General features: G+C 34.3%; 1 protein-coding gene and 1 pseudogene across 36 annotated transcripts in view; one reads left to right on the top strand and one right to left on the bottom strand.

Annotated features, from left to right (window-relative positions):
- Positions 282–628, top strand: ANAPC15P2 (ANAPC15 pseudogene 2; annotated as a pseudogene).
- NLGN1 (neuroligin 1) overlaps positions 9,193–27,191 on the bottom strand; it is an 898,421-nt gene continuing 880,422 nt past the window's right edge. For all 36 annotated transcript variants that reach the window (XM_017005893.2, XM_047447706.1, NM_001365924.2 and 33 more), the window contains 2 exons: positions 23,915–24,704; positions 9,193–23,084 (listed from right to left, as the gene is read on the bottom strand). In XM_017005893.2, coding sequence (XP_016861382.1) covers positions 22,262–23,084; positions 23,915–24,704 — 1,613 coding nt within the window. In that variant the 3' untranslated portion in view covers positions 9,193–22,261. The remainder of the gene's footprint in view (positions 23,085–23,914; positions 24,705–27,191) is intronic.

The following is a 27,191-nucleotide window of genomic DNA, read 5'->3' as shown; positions in this document are numbered from 1 at the left end:
GCTGGCAAAGGGTTGCAAATGGTAGTAAAGCCAGGACTGGAACTGAGGTCTCCTAAATCTCTATGTATGTACACACCAGTTCCCTTGTGTCTAACATCTAGGCTGAGAGTGAATAGCCTTGCAGGAAACTGAAAACAACTCATTCCTATTGTCATCCTGCTACCATGCATACTCCATAGCCTAAGATATTACTGCAAGCTGCTGCCTCCCGGCACGATGATGAAACTCAGGTTTGGAGAGGTTAAGCGACTTGGCCAAGTTCAGTCAATAATCTAGAAGCCATGTCCACCTTGTTCCCCTCACTCCTGCCTCAGAAGTGACTGATACATTGTGATTTAAATCTATATTGAACCTGTGTAGAGGAGACAGAGCTGCAGCAGCAGGAACAGCAGCATGAGACCTGTAGCTTCACAGAGAAAGACAACAACCTGTTGCCTGAGCCAGGCTCAAAGCACCATGAGAATGAGGGGGAGGACTATGAAGATGAGGAGGATAGTAAAGAATGGAGGATGAGCACATGCAGGACATGGATGACATGAATGATTTCAATGAGTAACCTGGTGATGGAGAGGTCAATGATGTGGATGTGGGAGGCAACAAACAGGATCAGGACAAGTGGACAATCTAGGTAGACAGGGCGGGATGGCCTCAGGGAGATTCCATGCCAGCTCCAACTTTCCTACACTCCCTGAAGAACAAACTGATGGCCTTTTTTTTTTTTTTTTTTAAAGAGACATCACTACAGAAGAGACTTCTGCTTCCCTTCTCTACTTGTGAGGAAATGCTACACCAAAGCCATCTCTGAGTGAGAAAATTCAGAGAGTTAAATTGAAAGTGATTTATTAAATTGCACAGTTTCTCTGTTTTCCATGAATGAATGTCTAGTTAACATAAATTGGTTAAAATCATACACACGGTAATTGAAATTATTACCCATGAGGTGGAACCAGAGAGAAATAAATACTGAGCTGTAATGCATTTCACTCATCCCAATTCATTCTTTCTGTCAACTGTGCACCCTCTCCCTTCTTTATTAAGATTTGTATAAATTTAAACAAAGTCAAACTAAGCTGGAATAAAGGCAATGTGGCATGTGTATAGTCAAGCAAGAAGTTTGTTTTGTGAGAAGAATAAGCCCTCACATGCATTCAATCACTGTGTTCCAGCATGAGGAGCCTGAAAACCCTTCAGATGATTGGCTATTTAGGATAGTGAAAACTGATCAAAGAAGGAAAATAAATAAGAAATTTGGAGAGGCTTGGAACTTTTATGATGTCAAAGAAACGTTGGCTGAGAGAGTTTTGAAGAAGTAAAATTAAAGCAATTTCTGAAATGTTTGTAATTCAGATCCAATCTTCTCAAGTTGCAATGTGCATCTGGGGATCTTGTGAAAATGCAGATTCTGATTTAGTAGGTTCATGGGAGGTCTGTACATTCTTCTTCTCCAATAAGCTTTCAGTTTGCTGACGCTGCTGGTCCACAAATCATGCTTTTAGCAATAAGGTTTTAGTCATATTGGCCATTTCTCGGTTACTAAAATACTGAAATCCCCTAAATAATTGCTAATATTCATATTTTGAAAAAATACATTGCCAATAATAAACTTGTCTAAAATAATAGTGTTCTTACCTGGATTAGTGATTTAGAAAACCAAATACTAAGTCAAAAGTGAACCCCAAGATGAGCTTGAAATCAGTGACATCAGCTGTAGAACCAGTTTTAATCTATATGAAGATAGACCTACGTTGTATCTCGTGTCTCTAAGTGCTGAATTATTCACATAAATGCTTCAGAGAAGCCTCCCATAAATCAAAGGGAGAGAATTAAATTGGGAATAGTAATGGTGAGAAATCTTGAGCTCCTAACCTGATTTACCTGACTACTCTCCCAGTTATCTTTCTCTTGTTCTGACCAAATCATTCCTGGTGATTTGCTGGCCCCTAAATTTAGCCCCAGGGACTCTTTCATCATAGTATATGATTTTTAAGCTCTGTGCTTTTAAAGGCTTGTCAGATGGATATTAGATTCAATATTGAAATCTCAAAGTTCTTTGTGAGAGAACTTCTGCAGAAGGTTGGCAGTGGTTTATCCAAATGCCTTTTATTGGTTAATAAGTTTGGACAAATGTGGCTCCATCATAACAATGACTATTTCTGATGAAAGTATCTGATCAAACTCAATTTACAGAAATAATGTTTATTCCATTTGATAATAATAAAATATTATTTTTCCCTTCTCAGGACAATTTGGTAATGCAAGGATTGAACTATTTGTATGAATAAATTCCATTTATTTTCTTCATTTCTCCTGATTTTCTTTTTTTTTTTTTTTTTTTTTTTTTTGAGACGGAGTCTCGCTCTGTCGCCCAGGCTGGAGTGCAGTGGCGGGATCTCGGCTCACTGCAAGCTCCGCCTCCCGGGTTCACGCCATTCTCCTGCCTCAGCCTCCAGAGTAGCTGGGACTACAGGCGCCCGCCACTACGCCCAGCTAATTTTTTGTATTTTTAGTAGAGACGGGGTTTCACCGTTTTAGCCGTGATGGTCTCGATTTCCTGACCTCGTGATCCGCCCGCCTCGGCCTCCCAAAGTGCTGGGATTACAGGCGTGAGCCACCGCGCCCGGCCCTGATTTTCTTTTAACAAATGATCTCTGAACACTAGGGGCAAGAAATTTGACCAAGCATCTTAATACACTGATTAGAACAGTAAAAAGTTAAGTCTATTACAAATTGTATGTAATGCTTTAAATGTAGATTAAACTAGTCATCAATATGATACAAGTGGAATTATGATGATACAAAAATAGGCTTTGATAATGCTTTGTCTTACCTGCCTCATGAAATTGCTGTGAGGATCAAACGAGATAGTCTTTGAAAGTAATCTCTAAAGTCTAAATGGTGTTTCTGGCTTTGTCCTCCTTTTTACCAATCCATTTTATTTAAGGTTGCCAGATTAATCTTAAAGCATCAGCTTGATTACATTTTTTCCAGCTCAAATACCCTCAATTTTCTTCTCAACCTCTTTCTAAAGCATTGGGTTTGGCTTCCCTTGGCATTTAAGAAACATCACACTGCCTTTCTAGTCTTATCTCCAGCTATTTTCTGTTCTAACCTCATATATCAAGGCTACTGGGTTACACTGTATGTCCCCTGATTTCCTGAGTCAAAATTTCTATTGTCTCCTACATTGCCTCTACCCAGTTGTTCCATAGAGACCCTATTATCAAACATGTCCAAAATTAGGAGTATATAAGTATATTCTTTATATATTTCCTATTATCCATTCCAGAAAAATCCATTCCTATTATCTAAGCCAGAAAATTAGAGTTTCTCTCTCTCTTTCATTCTCCCTCTCTCTCTCTGTGTGTGTTTCCTACACATTTTTTTCAGGCCCACCTTCAGGTAGGAAATATGTAATTTTTCTTTACCTGTACTTCTCCCTCAGGATCACCCTCAATAGTTACATACAACCATTAATTCTATCAGATATTTTTCAGGCCTAATATCTAATGGTTCTTTAATTGAACAGATGTTTATGGAGCACATGCCATGTGTTGATGGTTGTGTCAGTTTTCTATTGCTGGTATATTACCATGAGATTAGAACAACACATTTATTATCTTACACTTCTGGAGGTCAGAAGTCCAAAATGAATCTCACTGGTTAAAATCAAGGTGCTGGCAGAGCTGCTTCCCTTCTGAAGGCTCAAGAGGGAACTCCATTTTCTTGCCTTTTCCACTTTCTAGGTGTTACTCACATTCATTGACTTATAGCTCTCTTCCATCTTATTTATTTATTTATTTAGAGACAGAGTCTTGCCCTGTCACCCAGGCTGGAGTGCAATGGCGCAATCTCGGCTCACTGCAACCTCTGCCTCCTGGGTTCAAGTGATTCTCCTGCTTCAGCCTCCCGAGTAGCTGGGATTATAGGTGCGCACCATCACGCCCAGCTAATTTTTTGTATCTTTAGTAGAAACGGGGTTTCAGCATTGTTGGCCAGGCTGGTCTCAAACTCCTGACCTCATGATCCACCCACCTTGGCCTCCCAAAGTGCTGGGATTACAGGCATGAGCCACCATGCCAGACCCCTTCCATCTTTAAAACTAGCAACACATTCTTCCAACCTGTGCTTTTGTAGTTATATAACCTTCTTCAACTTTGACTCTCTTGCTTCTCGTTCACTTATAAGACCCCTTGTGATTACATTTAGGGCCCACCTGGATAATCCAGGATAGTTTCTCCATTTCAATATTCTTAACAATGGCATCTGAAGTCATTTCTTCCATGTTAGATAATATACGCACAAGTTCCAGGGTTTAGAATGCGGACATCTTTGAAGGGCAGTGGTGGTATTATTCTGTCTACCATAGCTGTCTTCCTAAGCAGTGTAAACACAAAAGTCAATATTATGATGCAGTCCATGCCCTCAAGGAAATCAAGGACAAAGCAGTCAAATAAGTGAGTAGCTACAATATGCTATAATTATGGCTCTGAAATTATGATGAAAACTATATAAAATCTTGAGGGATCAGGGAAGTCTTTGGGAAGAAGGGCTATCTAAGACATAGAACCAAAATTCTATTTGAGCATTTTGTTACAATTTAGGAGGGAGGATAATGGTACTAAAATAAGTTGGTACAATAATCTAGGCTCTAATAGCATCAATCAATCAATCTCATATTATCACTTTTACAGTTGAACAGACTGGCTTAATATAGATACTAGTTCCACTCCAAAGATATAAATAGGGGTACTACATGTATATACCATATTTATATACATATTCTCTCTTTTTGCCTTTAGAGGCAAGGTCTCATTCTGCTGCCCAGGTTGGCACGCAGTGGCCTGAATATAGCTCATGGTAACATCAGACTCCTGGGTTCAAGCAATCCTGTTGCCTCAGTCTCCCAAATAGCTAGGACTGAACTACAGGCGCACCTCACCAAGCCCAGCTAATTAAAAAATTTTTTTTTGGAGAAGAAGGGTCTTTCTAGGTTACCCAGGCTAGTCTTGAACCCCTGGCCTCAAGCAATCCTCCCTCCTCGGCCTCCCAAAGCACTGGGGTTACAGGCATGAGCCACTGCACCCAGACTACATATTGTTTATGTATATGTTGTATACCATTTAACATATATATAAGTGAGAGAACACATATGTACATAGAAAAGGATGTACTTTTCTATGGGTAAAAGGAAATAGAGAAACCAGGAACAAATTTTGCCCTCTGGGAACTTATACTCTGGAAGGGGAACAAGACTTGGACATAAATGTTTACTGAAACATGAGGCCGAGAGAGTTGACTGTCATAGAGATATAGATATAATACTATGTGTATGCAGGGCTGGAAGTGAATGTTTTCAGCTTAGAGAAACTAGAGAAGACGTCACAAATAATGTCTTACTTGAGCTAAGGTCTCTAAGGATGGGAGGTAGGGCTTTGGTCATGTTGGTGATGAGAGAAAAGAATGTAAAAAATGACATATATCTCCACATTGCTATTAGGTAGAGGAGAAAAGAGTTCCTCCTGGAGATCTTTGAGACTTTGAAACAGCAGCAGAAGAGATGTGAATTCCAATTACAATTTCACCTATACCAAACAGAATTATTCACGCATCTCTATTGCTCCCACCTCATCTTCAGAAAGATTTCTGCTGCAGTGCTCCAAGGGAAATATGTAGAAATAGATCATATACTTCCTTGTTGGAATAGGAAAGATGAAGAGATTCACAAGGGGGAAAACGTGCTATGACTGAACATTTTCTTGATAAAACACAGAGAAGTTCATAGCTTTGAGAAATTATTTCACAATAATTCATTCGGTATATATTAACCACCAACTCTGCAAAACACTGTGATAGATAACATGAGAAATACAAAGATTTTAAAACATAGTTTCTAGTTTTCAATCCATCTAGTGTGGGAGTAAAAACAGAGATTGAGCATATTACAAAGCAGTGAGTGATTCATGCTACATGATTAGGATATAGAAGAGTGGGAATTCAGATCGGTTCTAGTGGGTATCATGAGGGAATTCTCATAGAAGAGACACCTGAAACTGGTGGAAAAATAAGTAGGATTTAATAGACTAAGGCATGCACATAGGGCTGGGGAGAGAATAAATTGGAAAGGATAAAATTTAGGCAAAAAGAATAGCATGAGAAAAATCATGGGGGTAGCAAAGTCAAGATATTTTTAGAAACTCTACATGCCACTTTTTTCCTCCAAATATGAACTGAGCCGTGGGCATAGAGAGAATAACAGCAAATGAGATAGTTCCTGACTTCAAGGAGTTTGTAGCCTTGAGGGGGTACTGAGAAACAGATAATTAAAATAAAATGTGATTTATATTGTGGCAGAAAAAAAAGAGAGTCAAGATTTTATGTAGCCTAGGAGTCACAAAAAGCAGAGAGGGCTACCCAAGCAGAGACGTCATCTTAGCTGAGTCCTGTCCTGAGGGGTTACTTTGAGTTGGCCAAGGAAAGAGAGGGAAAATAAAGAAATCCATGCATATACCCAGAACAGGGAGATCAAGATCACAATGCATTTGAGGAACTCTAGGCAGTTTCTTTGTTGTTGGAGTCCAGGCTACATAGGAAGAGAATAAGGAATTGGGTGCAAACAGCAGCTGGGTCATACAGGATTTTTGAGACCTGGTAGGAGGCTATTTTAACATCTAGGTAAGAGTGGATGAGGGTTTGAAAGTATGAAATGGCAGTGGGGATTAATGAAGAGAAGAATCCATATGAAATAGATATGGGGCACATGGGAAGGATATTCCTCAAATCTAGTCTAATTGAGAGAGATTTTACCACAAGAAATTTTCATGAGTGCTACAGAGGACAGTGATGAAAACACACTCAACAGTGATGAAAACACACTCAGGAGTAAAGCTAAAGGCTATACCTTAAGAAAGGCTAGGTGGTGAATGCAAAGAGAAAGGACAGGAAAAGTTTGCAAGTAAGAAAAGAAAGATTGGGGGCTGTGGAGAGCAGAAGTGATGAAGGTAAACAGGAAACACTGGATTTGCAGTGAAATGTTATTTTTGCATAGAGGCTAGTGCAGACAAAACTAGGTGGAAGGTTGCCTTTGTAATTAAGTCACCTTAGTTGGGCAAATGCAACTTGATAGATCTTCTTTTCTGATATACAAAAGTGTGATTATTTGATTTGGCCAAGATCTTTAAGGCTGAATTCTTATAAGAGAATAAAAAATCTCAGGAACTTCAAATTGCCACTCCACTTTACCGTACTGCTGGTCTACATAGCAAAGAACGAAGGGTATATTTCCTGGTAGGAGAGCGTAGTTCCCTCCATGCTACATGTATATAAATCTATAGTTTTATATTTCTTGGTATTTGGTGAGAAGAAAATGTAGTTTAACATGGGATTGGGACTGTGGAAAATTCCAGAGGAAATTGTCAAGATTTACTCTTACTGATCAATGTTATCTTCAGGACTCCTTCTTCCCTCCTAAGGTTTTTCTCTGCAAATAATAATTCTTTCAGCTTCAGCCCTAATTACTAGGGCCCTTAATCTTTTTCATGGTTTTATAGTCCTTGAAACAAACATATGCGCTTATTATTGAAGGCAGCTTTTGTTTGCCAGAGGCAAAAATACTTACAGATCGTCTTCTTTAACACATCTTTTCACGTCTGCTAGACAGCTCAGTTCTCTCCTTCTAACTCATCCCTCACCCAACTCCTCCCAAATTTTTTATTGAAAACTGTCCACACATTGCTAAGCTCTTTTGTTTTGTTTCTAAGAACACTGTGTAGTCTTCGTGTAGAATGGCAACTTGATATAGACATAAGATATATAAACATTTGTTAAATATACTTGACCACCAACTAACTAAAGGGTTTCTCGATATAAACTCTTGCTTACACGGTACCCAATTAACCTTTTATCACTTTTCAAAACATGCATAGCTTTATGGCATAAGCTCATTTATCTTTGCTAAAAGCCTTCATAGGAATCTGAACAAAAATAGTTTCTGTTAAAATATTCAACTGTAATGTGGAGCCTTTTATTACATTTTAAACATTTTTTTCTTGTTCCTAGGCCCTTTAAGGATTAGAGCAAAAATGTACATAAATAATTCATGTAGCAGAGTATAAGCCCCAAGAGCCTGTCTCAAAAAATGATGACCAGAAAACCACAGATGCAGTAGAAATCTTGGACAACGGATGAAGAAATGATGCAAACACTTAAATTAGAACTTTCTAAGCAACCAAAAAAAAAAAAAAAAAAGAATCAGAGGACTGCCTATTCTATTACTATACAAGCTGGGAAGCAACCCAAGACCACCAAGTAGGGTATTTTTAAAATGCCAAGACAACTACTGTAGTCTTTCATGTACGTTACTTGGTGGAAATCACTGGCAATCTTATGACAGCATCTGTGAGGCATTTGGTTTAGGTCTGTGAGTCCAGGTGCAGGTGAAGGTATACTTCTGTTGTTGTTGCCCTTTTTTGACTCCAACCTAGATCAATATACACTTACCATCATAGTTATTTTCTTTCCATTGATTGTCTTTTGATTATAGGGCCGAGAAAACTTGTTATTCTTAAGCTATTTTAGTGTTGAGTTTTTTTAAAAATATGATCTGTTGATGTAAATATATGTACAGATTGTTTTTGTAAGTCAGAGAGCCTTCCTTTCACTGGCTGGATAATTTTACTCTTTGGGATAGTGTTTGGAATTGGGTGTCACATACTAAGAGGGCAGGTCTTAGTTGTAAGCATGTAAGAAGATGGTTAGAAGTAGTAATAAACCTTATGTGGCTTGGCTAGCATCCTGCTCTTCTACAGTCTTACAGATTTCAGTAGCTGAAAATAAAAAGTCCTCAGCTTTACAATAAAACACAATCCACTTAAGTCAGGTCTGAATTGTATTAAAACCTTATCTGGGAAAAAAATAAACCTCAATCCCCTTCTTACTAGTTATCTCAATGTACCTTTTAGGTGGATCAAAGATTTAACTATAAACAATGAGGCTGTCCATACAGAAAAAAAAATGAATGAATTAAAATAAGTATTGAAATGGGGAAGGTCTTTGTATGCAAGAAACAAAACTCAGAAAAAACACAAAGGAAACACTGATATATTTCAATAATTGAACACAAGAAAAAATTTTCTGCCTAGCACAAAATAACATAAAATTCAAAGAAAAGTTGAGCAAAATTATTTACAACACACATGACCAAAAGTACTGATTTTATTTGTCTATAGAGAACTCTTATAATTTCATAAGAAGAGATTAATAAACGAATAGAAAAAATATACAAAGTAAAGGAATACATCTAATATAAAAAGAAATACAATGGCTTATAAGCATAAGAAAAGATGTTTTACCTCAATTTAAACATGCAAATTAATACAATAATGATATTACATTTATATTGAAATGGAAAATATAAAAAATTGATACACTGATTTTTGGTTAGAGGGTAGGGAAATAGATACTTTAATACACTGTTTGTGGAATGTAAATTTGAATAACATCTTTTTAAATCAATTAGTAAATTGGTAGATAAAAACCTTAAAATATGCTTTTTCCAAACTTTCTATTTGGAAGAATTATCTGTACTTACATTCATGTGCACAAATATATATCCAAAGATTACATTCCATTTCTTGTAGTACTTTCTCTTTTTCTCTGCATTAATAGTTTTGATTTTGTTGTGTAGTTTTCTATGTTCTTTCCAAATTTAGCAAAAAAAATTGTAAAATCTATACAAATAACACTTTTTTCCACATGATGAAATACGTCAGTTTTAATTTTATTGTATAGATATTCTTTCTACAACTCCCCAGCTTCACACTCTGAGCTGTTCTCTAGTCTCCTGAGCAGCAATCCTGGTTTTTTATTTCCTCTCACCCCTGAATCTATGCCTTTGTGGACTGATACAGTGAACTTATATTTTGTTTGAATATAAAATTCTATAGGTTGATCATAATTCTTTCTCAAAAATATTATCCAATTTCTTCTAGCTTCCAGAGCTGACGTTGAGAATTCCTTTTGTTCCTCTGAGGAAGCTTTGAAACTTTTCTTCTTTTTTCTGAAGTCATGACATTTTGTGATGGTATGCTTTCACAGGTGTTTTTTTCATCCATTACACTGGGCAGTTGGCGGGTCCTTTCAATTAATAAACTCATGTTCTTTAAGTCTGCAACATTGTCGTGTATTATTAATTTTATTACAATCCTATTTATTTTATTGTAAAATATAATCCAGGTACAGAAAAACATCATGAAGTAAATGTTTGGTTTAAAACATCATCATAAGGAAAAGGCTCAGGTAAAAAACACCCAGATTAAGAGATAGCACTTTGCAAGCCACTGCAAAAAAAACCTCCACATGCACCATCTCAGTCACAGCTTATTTCCTCTGTGATCTATCAACACTATTTTAGGTTACCCCATCTTGCTGTCCTTTATAATTTTATTACTGAATCGTTCTTCCTGAAGCAGAACTTTTTTAAAAAGTATTTGTAAGTTTTTAAAAATCTACATATTTTCTCACTGTGTTTTTTTTCTTGCAATTTATTTATTGAGGATACAAGAAAATTAAACTGGGAAAATTTTAAATCGTGTGAATTTTTCTGATTTCATATCCATGGTATAATTTAACATGCTTCTTTGATGTACTTCCTGTACCTATGTATTTTCTGACAGTTGAACCTAGAGACTTCCATCATACACAGGTTTGGTTTTGGGTGCAAGCCTTTTCTGAGGTAATCTTGTGTACATCTATCCAGGAGACACATGATAACTCATTATTTCTAATTTTGTGATGCTTAATACCTAGATCCACTGATTCATTGGGAGCAATAAAACAAGTGACAACTGAAATTATAATACAACAATTCCTTCTTTTATTAGCTGAAATAACTTCTACAAAGAGTAAATTCTCATCTACCATTTGGCTACCTTGCTGTATAGTTGGTGGAGGAATGGCAGGACAAAATATTTAACTGTTCTTTTTACTTATGAATTTTCAAAACAATGAATTATATTCCAATTATCTGCCATAAGTGGTAGATGTTTTCTTTTTAATTATTATTCACTTTAGAATTTAAATTGGATTTATTTTCAATTAATTGAAATTATCCTTATTGATGCTCACACTGTCGTATCTTTAGATAGTGAGATCATCTTTGTATTGGTTCCTCTGTCCTTTAGATATATTCCTAGAAGTCTTTGACAAAATGTTCCAGGTTCACCTTCTATGGTTTGTTCCCCAGACCTCTATTTCTATGTGTGTTTGTGTGCGTGGTGAATTTTTTACAGTAAGAAATGTTCTTTTAAAACCACAATCTGGTCCTTAAGGATGCTCATTGCTACTAGCTTGATCATAGTTTGCATAACTTTTTTTAAAGTGTTCATTCTGATAGTTACACTTTAAAATCGAAACAATAAGGTGGGTTTTTACTTAACCTCTTCTACTCTGATTCAGAATATCCTTTCTTCCACATTAAGAGTGCTGGTTCTCAAAGACGGTGGAGATGATACAATTAGCATATCACAATATCCCTCTTTGCTGTATTCTGTGTTACACATAAAGCAGTTTCAGAGTAGCAACAGCACTGCTACCACTGTAAATATGATTATTGAAAGTAATGACAATTTTTACCTATGATTTTTCTATTACCTTCATATTTCTTATAGCTGTACCGTGTCTTCATTATCAGAACATGTAACAAGTTTATACTGTACTCCACCATATAGCCCTCATTTAGTGTTAGCTCTCTGGTATTTAGTGCCCATTATCAGTCCTTATATCCATGTCACCCTTCTGTTTGTCTACAGGTCTTTTTCTGGTAAATTTCTCAGGAGGCGTTCATGGTAACAATATTCCCTGAGTTCTTTAATGCCAATAACAGTTTGTCCATGCCCTTCATACTTGTAGGAAAGTTAGCTTATGGCTGAATATAAAAATAACTTGCTTACATTCTAACGTCTTATCTTTTGTATGTTACTTTAATTTTTACTGGCATAAAGCGTTGTCTTTGAAGTCTGATGATGATCTAATTATATAACAAAAGAGTCTTCATTTTAAGAGATTTGGTGATTTTAGCTAGATGTGAATGCTTATATTATTTCTTTGATAGTCATTAAACTTATTAGCATATGTCTTGATGTTGGTCATTTTTGATCAGTTATTTCATATATTCAGTGTGCCTTTTGAAAATGTGACATCAAATTTTTTTCTGTTGTATTGTAAAAGATTTCCTGAATTACAGCTTTCATTGTATTTGTTGTGTTTCCTTGTTTTGGTTTTCTTTTTCGAAGGTTCCATATACATGCATATTGAGTCTTCTTTTTCTATCTTCTTATCACTTATGCTTGATTTTTTTTCTTATTTCTCCCTTCCTCTCCCCCTCAGCTCACATCCCCTATTCCTTCTTTTTTGAAACTTTTTAGATTTTTTCTACTTTTTACTATTTATTCCCATTTCTTTTTGAAAATTTTTCTATGTCTCTTAAAGCATTCTTTGGTCTGCATTTCCTTTAATTTAGTCTTAATTTAAAAAATTATTTTTTCTTTTATTTATAATTCTTTCTTGAGTTTTATTAAAGCATCTTTTAACTTTTCTAATTCTGATTTATGTTGCTATTTCATAGGTTGTATTATATTCTTAAGGTTTTTTAGTTTATCTAATTTCTCTCTCTCAAAAACTTGTCAGAACTTCTTACCTGTTATCTCTTTTTCTATTCTTTTTGTTCTGATAAGTTTATATATTTTTCAGTCCTCTCCTTACATTTTTGTGAGAATCAGCAACAGGGAAAAAACAGACATGTCCTTTATTCCCAGTATTTAATCAGCTCTATTTTCCTTGTGAATTTGTCCTTTCCTTATTTAAACTACAGGAATTTTCTATCCACTCATATTAATTAATCTTTCATTGCTTATATGTGTTGCAAATACTTACTTTCAATATGTGCTTATAGTCATTTAAAAAAACTCATTATCTGATGTATTAACATTTTAATTTTAACTTGTTATTCGTTTTCTTTATTGTTTATGCTGTTTTATGTCTTGTTAATAAATTCTTCCCTATTTCGAGGACATGACAATGTTTTCCTATGTATTCTGAGACATTTAAAATGTGCTTTTATGTTTATATTTTTAATTTGTCTGGGATTGATTTTTGTGTCTAGTATGACATAGGGATATTGTTAGCTGAGGCATCTCTCTTTTCTCTTGATTTGTATTTCCATTTATATGCCATGTTCCCCTTTCTTCATAGATCTGTTTATGGGTTCAATGTTATCCTACACTGGTCTGTCTCTGAATTGATATAACACTGTTTTGATTACAATAGCTTTATAGTAACTCATGAAATACGGTAGACAAAGTCTTTGCTGCTGATTCTTTTGATTCAAAATAATCTTGGCTATTCCTGACCCTTACTCACCTAAAGTCTGTAAACAAACAAACAGTGTTGAAATTTTGATTGGAATAGCCGTGAATTTAAGGAGAAATTTGAAACTTACTTTTATCTTCTATTTTCTCCTCAGAGCTGACATGTAGTATCCTCACATGGAACATTTCCAGATAAATTTAAAAAAAGAATATATATGTATATATATATATATACATATATATATATACACATATATATACATACATATATATATACACATATATATACATACATATATATATATAAAGTGCCCCCACGTACATACACAGACAATACACTTTTACATGTTTACACATGAATGACATATTTGTAGAGATTTATATGCAAATTGGTGAGAGTCAATGTCTCTGGGGAAAAAGACTAAGGGATTAGAATCTGTAGTAAGAGAGATGTTTACTTTTCACTTTAAAATATTTTGTTTTATCTTATGTATGTATTACTTTTTCATACAAGGAATCCCACTTTAAGACAACACTTGACTGGCCTAAATTCACATCTTAATTATGACAGGTGATTGGTGTGAGAATTATTTTTCTATATCTTCTAACATTTAATATAATGCACCAGGAACCCAGAAATTCCCAAATAGAAAGTTTAGAGTAATTATCCCAGTTTTCTTACTAAAGATGACTATGATGTCAGGCAAATGTTTTACATGGGAAAAAAATATATCCTGCAAATACATCTGATTGTGTCTTTTGTGCTGTGTGTGTAGAAAAGAGGAAGAGTAATCAGTTGGCTGCTAGTAATGTGAGAAACGGAGCCACATTTTATTCACTTTTCTATCATTAACAAGTAGCTCAGTAACTCATATATAATAGATGCTTAATAATAATCTTTTAAACAACGAATTAGTGAATAAGCACATCAACAAGTATTAGTAGATATTTCGAGGGTGGTATGTGGGAGTTTGTTGTGGAGTGTGATACAGAATCTGGAACATAAAAGGGCTTAGTAATTGTCATCTTTTGCTTTTGTCAGTACTTTACACACTGTCTCTATTACTATTATTCTGGAGATTTATCCTCAACCTGATTCTGCATGGTAGTTTTTGTTAGTGACTTGGATGAAGATAGAAGTTTATCATCTTTGTTGATTTCCTTACTCTGAGGTGGATAGATAGGTCTCCATAGGCTGTAGTGCTGTACCTAATGAGGTAGAATTTAATAGTATTTAATATCCTGAACATACAATAAAACTCAAATGATCAAGGGCAGTAGAAAGACAGAATTTGCTTAACAATAGTGCATTTAGAATTTTTAAAGTTTTAGTAGAAAGTACATCTCAATCTGAATTACTAGTATGCTATGGCCAACAAAGAATGTAATAGTATTGCAAGTTATATTAAAATAAATATACTTTGTGTAATGAGGAAGTTGATAGTGGAGCTCTGTTAGGCAGAGATGAACTATACGTAAGTGTTTATTATGGTCAATCCTAGACATTAAACTTTCTAAGAAACTTAGGCTTGGGAGCAAATTTGGAGAACAGTGATTAGAATTGTGAAAAGACTGAACTATTTTGTATTTCAAGTGGGATTTTTTGCTTTCAGGAGAAAATAACTCATGGAAGATATGAAAGCCATCTTTAAATATTTGAGATCAATTCAGGCGATGAAGACGGTGTGGCTATAAAAAGAAAAAAAAAGAGCAAGAAATCAATATAAAGAAGACATCCCAAATAGTCCAAAATGCAGCCAGCTGTTTTAGAATTCAGACCCATGGCAGTGTTCAATGATAGGCTTCACAATTACATGTTGAGGTTGTGGCAAAGGATTAAGGAACCACTTATGGGGCTGGATCAGATGAGATTTATGCTGGAAATTTCATATTCCATGAAATTTGAATTGGCATACTATAGCATGACTTCAGATAGGCTGTATTTATTATTTGGAAAGATGTCTGCTACATACCTTAACTGGTGAACTGGCTCAATAGAATTCACTAATTTTTTTTGAACTCAAGAAATATTGATTTGTATTTACTATTTTGAGACATGTGAAATAGACAAAACAAGGAATTGTACAGTGATTTGCTACAGAGTATAGCATAGAAAGTGGTCTAAATCAGTCCATGTGTTTGGACCTATTCCAAACTTGACAATAGTTGTATGTTAGTAAGTCATAGAATTGGCCACGTGTTTAACACCCATTATGTTGCCTAACCCATAGTAGACAACATTTGTTGAAAGAAGAAATGACTAATTTCTTTCATTGCTTGATTGATGTTCACTAGCTTCTAACCTGCCTGAGGAGCAGAGGAAGCCAATTCCCAAGGCACCAGTTGGTTAGATCACCTTTTAAGACTTTCAGCACAACTTTACCCCCTTGGAGAAGAGGTCATAACTAGTAATAGGATAGGCCATGGAAACAGGAGCCACAGTGACTGGTAAGAAGATCCCCTGTAGTGCAGAGGAAGGCAGCTCTGAGAGCAAAGTTGAGTATTTTCAGGGGAGATAGAAAAGTTTTAACTAGATAGTCAATCAACTCTCCAAAATTGAGACAGTACTTCAAATTATAGCATTCCATTAGAAAATACTGCTTTCACATGAACATTCACGAGTATATTTGAAACTTTTTTTGAACTCAGAAATAACATCCTACAAACCATAAGGAAATACAAAACTAGTGAAAAAGTAATCATATCAAACAACACCAAATTTTACAAAACATCAAAACCCTTTTATGGAAAGTGAAATTGTTAGAATATGTTTTTTAACTGTTTAATTTATTAGGTGCCCATGGCCATATGTGACCACAGAGACTTGTAAAGCAATGCTAATTCTTTTATTCAGCCATTGGAAACATTTATCTTTAGGCTATGTATGAGGAAATTATATGATGTCCTCTTTGCTGTATTCTTATCTTGGGCTATATACAGATGAGAGATTATCTTACTTCCCATAGTCTTCCTACCAATATCATTATTGATTAGATAGTACAAAACCATAAATATTTCAGTATAGATTTTATTTTTAATTGTTTCCAGTGACATGATTTGATCAAGACTTGGATCAAGAATTAAATTTAAGATATCTTCCTAGATATTATTAATTTTGTTCTCTAAGAATAATAGATTTATGATTTAAAGGGATTTATTTAAATTCCTTTGCCCTTCTTTTTAAAAAACTGTCACACATCTCTATTTAAAGCACTATTTGGATGCAAAAAGTCATTAATTTAAAATTGAGAAGTTTTTCTTCCTTTTTGTTCTCTCTCACTTCCTCCTTTTTCCATTCTTTTCTTTTTCCTTCTCCCACTTTCCTCTCTCTTTTCTGAAAAGTTGTGTCCAGCTCCCCAAATCTATTCTCTAAATTCTTGCCCTGCATTCACCAAGAGGTGAAAAGATCATAAAATGTCATTGTTTCTATCAAGTCAGAACTGTCAGCAGTGTGGAAGCAATACAAAGACTTTGTAAGAAAACACTTATCTTAGTAACCTTTTTGTGTGAGACAAATAGAGAAGAAATTATTTCTGAGTTTAAAAATAGTCAACACAACTTGGAAAACATGGTAATATTTATTCATGATAATAAACACGTTTTTAATGAAAGCCATAGATGTCCAAACACAAACTGAATCATGACAACCCAATGGTCTTTTTTACAAAAACCATGACATATGTCCCATTAATTTGCTAAATGATATGAATGCAGAGAAAGGATGAATCAAAACCACTAAAATCCTTTTAAACACACCATCTAGTTTAGATGTCAACTCTGAAAATGGCATTCAAAAATGGTCCCTCTCTTTTAAATTTATCTGCTGAGTTTTTGTTACGGTACCTTTACCAATTTCTTAAAAGCTTTAATTGTTATCATTCATTTCAACTCAAAACTGCTAGCAATTTGGTTTGACTTTCCATAAAGGACTAAATTCTGTCACATTAATACATATGTAGGTAGTTATACAATGTCATTTGTAAGTATATGGGTCTGAAAGGGCCATTATAAATGTTATATAAACCATATAGTATATAGGGTATATATATTATGTGGTGTACGTAATAGCTGACTAGAAAAAAATATATACCTATCTAGTACATGATTTTCTCTAATAGCTTCAGACTTCTTTCAAATTAAACTTACTATTTGGACAATTTTTAAAGTTTGCTAGAGATTTAAATTTTTATTCTTAAGTACCATCAAGTCAGATGCCTATATAATTGTCACTTTCAAAAATTTACCTCAGTCTTTCCCGGAAGCCATTTAGATGCATCTGATATTATTTTAAAAATCAAATTAAATGTAAAAATGTCCAAATAAACTTTCTTTATTGGTAATTTATAATATAGTCATCCTATTGTACTCTTTAAATTGAATTATCTGAATCTGAAAATTTAAAAAAGCTAAGTTTTATAAATAAAATCTCAGGAGGAAAAGGCACTTAAGCCCTGCACACGGTTATTCCAGTCTGTATTCTCCACAACCCTTATCAAATGGAATTGATTTCTGGCCTGCATCCAAATACAGCAACGTGCCAGAATAAAATCAAATCAGAATGCTTATGAAAAAGAATCAAGTTGGCCACCAAATGTTTCATAGCAGTAGGAAATTTCTTTAGAGACTTCTGATGGAAATTTGAAGTGTATGTTGCTATCAGATCAAGTGCAGGAGAGGTATAAGGCTACTGGAGAAATTCCCTTAGTCTATTGACCAGAAAGCTAAAACATTTGTCGTAACAGTAAAGCTTGACAAGATAATCAAATGAATGATAACAAAATCTCAGCAGGGAAGTGCCCATTAATTGAATTTATTTGGAAGCATGTTTTCACAAGTATAACCAAATCATCTAATTTCCACTCACATTAAAAAGTGATAGTCTATAACAACTAATTACTGGAAATGAAGGAAAAGGCCAGTACTTTGAACCAATAACACAGAAGAAAACAAAATTACTAACATCAAAAGACTGCCATATTTGACAGCTTCTTAAGAATTCAATTCATCATTTCATCCTGTGAAACTATTTCAGTGAAACTCGCCAAAGAAAAGAATCCCAGTAATTTCTATGTAGTAGTGTCTTTAATGCTGGAACACATTTCTCATATTCTTTGTATCATTTTTTGATATTAATACGTATGTCAGGATGAGTGTGGCAAGAGGTGAAATAACTGTTGTTACAGATGTAACAATTTAGTTTCAGCACTTCACTCCTGTAAGAAAATTAGTGCCATCTGTTTTCCTCTTTTTAATATTATATATACTTGATAATTTTTAAAAAAATGTTGCTGTTTTCACATACAGATCAGGAAGTCGGAAATAAAGCATCACTTTGGTCAACTTTTATATTTGAAATGAGGAATAAAATAATATATACTCAGATTTTCTGCTTTGAGTTGCCAGCAAGACGTCTACAAATCTGACATTTTTAATGCTTTAGCAAATTATTTTCCAATTTGCATAAAGTTAGTAATAAACTTTGTTATATATCTGTGGTAGCCAATTAGATTTTGTTCATAGTCAACATGTTCAGTAGAGATTTAAAACTATGAAATCTGTCACTTTTATTTTTCTATCCTCATACTCTAAAACATTAATCTCTTGGTAAACATTTGGTAAAAATTTTATATAACAGCAAAACAATGAAATAAAGTTCATTTTAGTGTAATCTTTGTATAAATTATAAGCAGCTTTGCCTAATTTTTAATCGGAGGCAGGAAAATCTGAATTAACAAATAATGCCAAAAATATTATTTTAATTTTGTTACTTACATTGTTTTTCAAAGAAAATTATCTAAATAAATACATTTTAAACATATTTGCTAAAATTGAGTAACAGTATTTATTTTTCTTGCATATAAAGATTATGTTTCAGCTTTAAAAACAGTTCTTAATGTTCTGTATAATGTGGGGCATCCTTTTTCATTCAGAAACTAGAGACTGCAATTATAAAACTAGCAACTAACACTCATTCACAATGACTTTATCACGTGACTGGTGAACAACAATTAAACCTAGGCTGCTTTATCTTCCATAAAGTTATTCTACCCTAATTTAGAGAAAATAATTAATAGGGCTATGCTTTGTTTTCCTCAATCATTTTCCTAAATTAATATAAAGAGGGTGACAGTTATGCTATATATAGGCAGATTGATAAATGCAGAGCAATAGATTGGTAGGTAGATGATATAAATATGGCCATCGTTAAAACATACTATTTAATAGAATGTTTGGTTTTGCCAAATGAAGCAATGCATATGAAAGTATTCATTCATATCTTATTTTGTTGTCATTTCTATTCTGTTCTTGTGTTTTGTTTAATTAATACAGTAAAATACAGTGTTCCAATTGAACAATACTTCAGATGCTAAACAATTATTTGTATTTGTGTACACTGGCAGTTCACAGTTGAAAAGCATAACCACCTCAGTCAAAAGCTGTATGTAGATCACTCTGGATTTTGAAGACTTTTGCTTCTAACAGAGACTTTTTTTTAATTATGGAGGAATACCTACATTTCTTTGATAGATAATAATTGGGAGGGGGGATTATAATCACATAAATTCCTTGAAATAGATTTTTATCTTTTAGTGTCAGTTTAATATCTTGCTCAGCACTTTTACATTCTCTTAGCATGGCAACTTTCTATTCATTACTTTATGGTAGTTTAATCACCCCCATTTTATGAACCTAGTTATTTGTATTCCATGAAATATTGCAAATTTCTTTTCAATAGACCTTTTCCTTGATGACTAGAATTGGAACTTGTTTTTCTAACTAACTGAAAACAATTGGCACTTTATTTCTACAACATCTGTACCTAAGAGATATTTAACAACACAAAGCTAATCTTTCTTTTTTTCATGGATTTCTGGAGCTTTTAAATTCATAACAAACATTAAATAATTTTTATGAGTTTCATCTTAGATGAGACTTGCCTTTAAATACATGTTTGTGTTTTCTGTGGAAGTTACCTATATGTCTTCAAAAACCTGACTGGTCTAATCTAGAAAAATTACTCTTTGAGACAGTCATGTTTCTTTGTTCTTCTTTTCCTTTTTTTCTTTTTTTTCTTTTTTTAGAAAAAAGAAAGACAAAACAGCAATAAACATTTTAGCTCTTTAATGAGCAAAGATCATGTTTCTTAGCATTGGACTAATAGTCATTATCCAGATTATCTTTATTTCACACAATGACCAGTGACATGGCCAAGATGTACAAAGTTGGTTCCATCAAGTAGTATACAATTTTTTGTATAATAATCTTTCATTCTTGAAAAAGAGTAACTGAAAAGAAAGGTTTCTGTTACTGCAGTTAGTTTGTCAGAGAAAGTTCTTTGCATTATCTTATAAACTATCAAAATTGCTAGTCATCTGAAAAAATGTAAAAAAAAAATCACATAACTTTAGTCTAATAGAAATATAGTACAGGTGAGAGAGAAAGTATTTATCAGGATGTGCTCTTTAAGTCCATCTCATTTGTTTTTCAATATAAATGTACATCTGATTACATATACAAACATTTGGAAAGGTCTGTGATATACTGTTACTGGTAAACAACAGGGGGATGAAGAGTTTCCTGTGGTCTGAGAATATTCGTTTAAAATCACACATATGTGTAAGAAAGACTAAAATCCTCCAGATGTTGACTCTCCTAGGTTCTGTATCTACGTTGTACTCTACTGAGATTGCGTGAGTAAATTCCAGTGAATGAACCTCAGTGAGAAAGATAAGTGATGTAAAGAGGGATATAACTTTATAATGAATTGTTATTAGTAAACATTTTGTCATGCAGCATGAGTAAATCAAAGAACTCAGAACTATAATCAGAGTGGTAATACGGGGGCATCCTCATATCATGAAAGACTGTTGCAAGTAACTCTTTGGACACACTTCACCTTACCAAAAGGAACAAAATACAGAGTAACAAAAAAACACAGCAACTTATAGATCCTGTACCACATGTCCAATTAGGGTTATATTTCTATAAATTATCTAGATGGGATTGAAAAGAACATTAAAAACAGGAAATTTTTTTCTGGGATTCATATCAGCGAGTATTCACCACTATACCTATAGTTTCTTCAAATACCTTTAATAGCTAATTCCTTCTATATTGAAACTACTGTGAATTATTTTATTGTAATTACTTTTGCCCCTTAAAATCTTCTTTAGGTTCTGCCAATTGATGGAGGAAGCTTCTATTAAAAACTCCAATGGGATGAGAAGAATTTTAATTACGGCTTAATCAGCAGCACAGCCACCAAGCATATAAATTATCATGCACATCGTGCTAAAAATATCCAGTTTCCTTTATCCCCACAACTTTATACTGACAGCACTTATGTGATAATGGTGTACCTGCCAGTCTTTAAACTTCTTTGTTTTACTGGCAAATTTCAGCATGAGCCTTTGCTAAGGCCATTAACAGCATTGACGCTTTGTGTACTTATCCAAATATGTAAATATGGTCTACACAATAAAACGGCTCCAAATAAAAACTGGTGAAAATTATCTGACATTCCACTGGTGTGTCCCTTGTGCATATTCATAGTTGTTTTTTTATTTTTATTTTTTATATTTCAGACATAGTTCTTTCCTGTTTGGTGTTCCACATGCCTAATTCCATTATGTAACTTAAATCTTCAAAAAATTAATTCTTGAATGTGAATGAAAAAGTATCATTCAGAACAATTGCTTCAAGCAATTGAAATTTGTTTTTAAAGTTGATTTGTATATATACAATTCATTTTTTTCAAAACCCCCAAAGTTCTTGATATGTATATTCACATAATATTCCTCCTTATTTAAATAGTAAGTCTTGTAGGTTGAAAGCCAAGGAATCTTCAGTGATCGTTTACTGCAATCCATCAAAAAAAATAGTTTGTTTCTCTTATCTGGCTATACCCTGGTTGTTGAATGTGAATGGGGGTGGGGATGGGGATGGGGCAGAGTATTGTTCTGTCCTCCAGTAAATGTATTGAATGTGTGTAAGGGCTGAATCCCTGGTATAGTGTTGGGAATCATTGTAATGGTGTTGGGTGTCATTAAGGGAACATCATCAGGTGACCTCCTCATAGCTAGTGTGTAATCTGGGGGACAGGCGGTCCGAAGAACCACCTCATGTGGATGAATGGACTCACATTCATGATCCAAATCAGTGTGCTTCATTTGGAGGGACATGATTTCCTCTTCTTGTGCATGGGTTAGATCATTGGTAGTAGTGCGCTGAGGGCTGCATCTCCTGTGAACATCATGTCTCCTCTTATCCTTTTTGTAGTACAGGGCTGCAAAGGCCAAGATGTTCAGAAACAGCAGTGATGCTCCAACTGCAATAGTGACACTCAGCTCTGTTGAGTAGTCCCTTTGATCCACTGAAAATGGACTTGGTTGTTGTTTGGGATCATCCTGCTTGGCAGTGGGAAAGGCTGACGTGACAGGTACAGAATTTTTTCTCGTAGGTCTGAAAGTGATGTCAGTTGATGGCACTTTAGTTGTTGTAGAGGTATACTGAGAAATGTCATTGAGATTATGCAGATGAGGTACCAACTCCAACCAGAGGTTCACCTTATTGGCTCTGTAATGTTCTTTAACTCTTGGTTTTAATCCAATATGGAGATAAAGTTGGTCTTTCTGGGAATATCTGGTCCATGCTACTTCTTCAAAACGGTTGGGTTTGGTATGAATGAATTTCGTGTCTTGAGGGACTGGTTGATTTGGGTCACTAAGAAGGAAAAGATAAATTATGAGAATAAAGCTATTTTATTTTTTACTTAAAATCACACTACTTTAACATCTAATAATTAAATAGATGACTCAGCAATGCTTTAGATTGTGTTTTAACATTAATTTGGGTCAATTTAGAAATATAAATCTCCTAGCAGGCATATTGTTAGATGGGTGATAATGGAAGGCAAGTAAGTCTCACATTCTTGTTCTCTCTGCTTATCCTGAGATGGGCTGCTATCTACCCAAAGATTTTAAAGAATTATTTAAATACTCACATACGTATGAGTTGTCTCATAGGCAAGCTAGCAGAGATGACATGGAATAGTGGAAAGGATTTTTGATTTTAAATTAGCAGATGAAGGTTTGAGCCTAGGCTCTGCTATATACCAGACATGTGAACATCTCTATGACACTCACAGAGCCTCAGGTCTCCTTCTTGTAAAGTGGGATTAATAGTACCTGATCTGCGAGATTCAGAAAGGTAGTTGGAAGGATTAAAGAGTGTTGTGAATGACAAAGCACTATAAAATAATATTTATTACTGCTGAACAATAACAAGTCTTGTATAATTCAAAAACCAAAAGCAGATGTAATTAAGTAATGCAATTGAGATATGTGCTTTCTTAACAAGCTTCTAAAACACCAGAAATAATAAAGCAATGACTTTTAAAAACACCATAATATAGAATTAATTTTGAATAAAGGAATGTAATATCTTGCAGGTATTAATCCAATATGACATTATCTGGGCATAAATATCTATTATTTTAAAATGGTTAAAATAACATTTTTATTAAAAATAAACTTCATTCCTTAGGTACATACCCAGTTTTAGCAAAATTTGTCCAGTATGTCATTACAACTGCACTCAGCATCACATCATTTTTGGAGAAATTGCAAGGAAATAACTCTGTAGGGCCAATCATGGGGATTCCCAGTACATAGGGAACCTCGTCTCCGTGGGCTGCATCAGCCCAAGCTGGAACCTGATCTGTTTGGCAATGATGGTAAAAGGCATAGAAGTACGTAGGTGAACCAAAGTTTGAGTGAAGATCCGCTGTGGCTACAGCTGGTGCCACCCACTGATGGTCCGTAAACAAAGCCAGTAATGTCTTTCTTCTGGTTTCAGGGTTATGACGGTCAGCCCAGTCAGTATACATGAACTTAATGGTTTCTCTCAAAACATCTTTGCCTTCAGGATATCCATATAAATTATCAACAAAATTTGAAACAGCAAAGTCAAAATCACTAGCTGATATACCATCATCGCTATCTACTATATTTTCAACAAATTTTAACCCTTCCCCTTGGTTCACTCCTAACATTATATCATAGTTGAGAAACTCTCCTTGCTCCATCAATATCTGGGGGTCGTCTGGTATTACATCACCATCAATCACAGGTCCAAAGGCTATGTGGTATCGAGCTGGTTGAATATCTTGGTCAACAAGTTCTTTGTAAGGCTTCTTCTGTAGGCATTCCACTAACTCTACTGTATCTGAAACATTGCAACCAACTTTTGTGGCCAACATTCTAGCATATTTTGCAGGTTGAAAACTAACAGCCCAGCTGGAAAGGGCTGTTCCACTTTGAGCTATTGCTCGTTGAAAAAGTCCTATGGGAAAATCAACAAAGAATTTTAGATGATCTTTGGGTAATGTTGTGGTAAAACAATAACATCTGATATTTTAGACATGTATATAAAAACCCAGATACAGCTCAAGAAACAGGGAGTTAGAGATATTTTTCTTAAGGGAAGTACACAAAGCCAACCGCAGGGTATAATGGATTAGAGAGGTGGATCTAAGTCTTGTGCTTTGAGTGGCACCTGCTTTAGGGATCAAGAAGCCTCAAAGAGGTAGTAGGCAAGAAGAAAAGGAGACGATGTAGTGGTAAAAAGTCCCAAATATGTTCTTCAATGAGTGTGTAAATACGTATATTATCATCAACATTAACCAGATGGGGCCAATCTTCTCCTATTTAACTCTCCAACAGACTCTACATTGTCTGTTTGGAATATTTCCTCCAGTTTGGCTGTGTCCATCTTCCTTCAAAATGGTTCTCTATATTTGTTTTAAACAGATGTTATTTGAAAAAGAATTCTTGAAGGCTCATACAATGACTGGGGCTGGCTGTTTGTTTATACCCTGGGGTTGGCCCTGAATTCACACAAAACAGAATATCACTTTAGACATACTCTTTCCAGATCTTCATGTCAGACATAGTATTCTGAATATTCATCTTTCAGAAGAAGACATAACCTTTGAAGTGTTTTCACTAGGTTAAAGAAAAAACCATCAGCAGAAAGATTTAGTGTGGGGTGATTTAACTTTTGCCGCTGTTGAATGTACACTACTGTTTTTATCATAAAAGATGAAAAGCACATGGTCCACTGCTTTTTAATTGCATTTAAGAATTGTAAATGATGGTTCCATATGCAGTTAAGTGCTGCATGTCATTCAAATTTACAAACACACTTTATCTTCTCATTAAGGTATTTTTCGGATAAAATTCCTGTTTTAAAAATATAGTTTATTTTCTTTTACATATTTAAATTTATTATCAATTTTATCAATTTCCAAATACAGCTTTGTGCTTCAGTTATTTAAAAACATGCTTAATTATTCATATGTATTAATGAGATAAAAACTCTTTTCACAAAGGTGTTGAAGCACTGTCTGAATTAGAAGGAAAGTTTTAGATTTTTCTTAACCTAATATGCCTATATATTCAACATGTCTGTAACATGTTCCTATATAATTCTGAAGATATTAAAAAAATCTAACAGTATTAATATACATTTGTTTTGGTTTTCTGACATCTTTATAAGTATTTTTTAGTTTACTAGAACAAAGTATGCTAGAGCAAATGATACAAATACAGATAATTTTTAAAATTATGTAGCTGTTTATCAACATTTGCTCAGGAAAATATTTTAATAAATAAAAATTGTGTAACTAAAATGCACCTGGTGATTTCTATAATATTATTTCCCATCTCAGGGACTCAACATTAACTAAATATACCGAAAAAGATTGAGAAGGAAAGGCACATCATGTCCAATATGTCCTAAAATATGCCACCTAGATTCCTAAAATATGGGAAAAATGTATGTTTGTTTTATCATATTAGTGAAATTGCCTCTTATGTGGATGCAAGATGGGGTTGACTCATGGTATATCCAGGCCTGAGCATTGTGGGATTTATTGCCTTTAAAGTTTATAGCTCCATTGGAGGCAGAATCAGCTTGATGATTTCAAGAGATTTTTTTCAGCATCTCCTGGTAAAATCAGGCAGCTTAGTTTGGAGACAGGTTTAGGCCAAACCTAAGTTGATGTCTTTTTCCAGGGATAGACAGATTTCCCTGAAGTGTATAATAAAATGTTGTATTTTCAACTGTTTGCATAACCATTTCCTACTGTTTACCATGCCATCAGTTGATGACTGGCAGTGTTAGCTGATGAACTAACTGACTCATCTCTTAAACCAATGCCCGTTTGATACTAGCTAAAGGTGGCTTTCACGTCAATTTTTGAGCAAGCGACCCTGAGAAACCTATAGAGGTGGCTTAGTGTTGCTTTAGCTACATAGTGGCATTAGTAAAAATACTGAGATTAGAACAATCTAATCTGTTTAATTAAAGAAACACTAAGTTTATTATTTCAAAAGAAGCCATTTCTTTACAGATGAAATCTCTCTTGGAAATGTTCATCTGTGTTATTTTGTCACCTTGAATCAGAATTTTACTAATATAAATGAAATGTTATGTAAACTATGTTAATAAATTGAGTCTATATATGATTCTCCAAATACATGGATTCATTTAATGACTGGCTGTTCTTTTGAAATTCAACATTCATGTGTTTTTGATACTGAAAACAAATACCATATGTTTGGTGCTCCTATCACAAAACTCAACCTTACAAATTAAAACACTTCATGAATTATACTTGACAGTGTATACTTTTTTCTTGGATATAAAATGACAATAAAAGATCAGAAATTAAAAGAAAGATGGTGTACGTTTTTATATATTATCTGTCTTCCTATCATACATAAATAATGCAGAAAAAGTATTTGCTTTGCAAATTTCTCCAACAAT

Source organism: Homo sapiens, chromosome 3, assembly GCF_000001405.40.
Source record: "Homo sapiens chromosome 3, GRCh38.p14 Primary Assembly".
Lineage (NCBI taxonomy): Eukaryota > Metazoa > Chordata > Mammalia > Primates > Hominidae > Homo > Homo sapiens.
The sequence above is the reverse complement of the archived record's forward strand: the minus strand, read 5'-3'. Positions and strand labels throughout refer to the sequence as shown.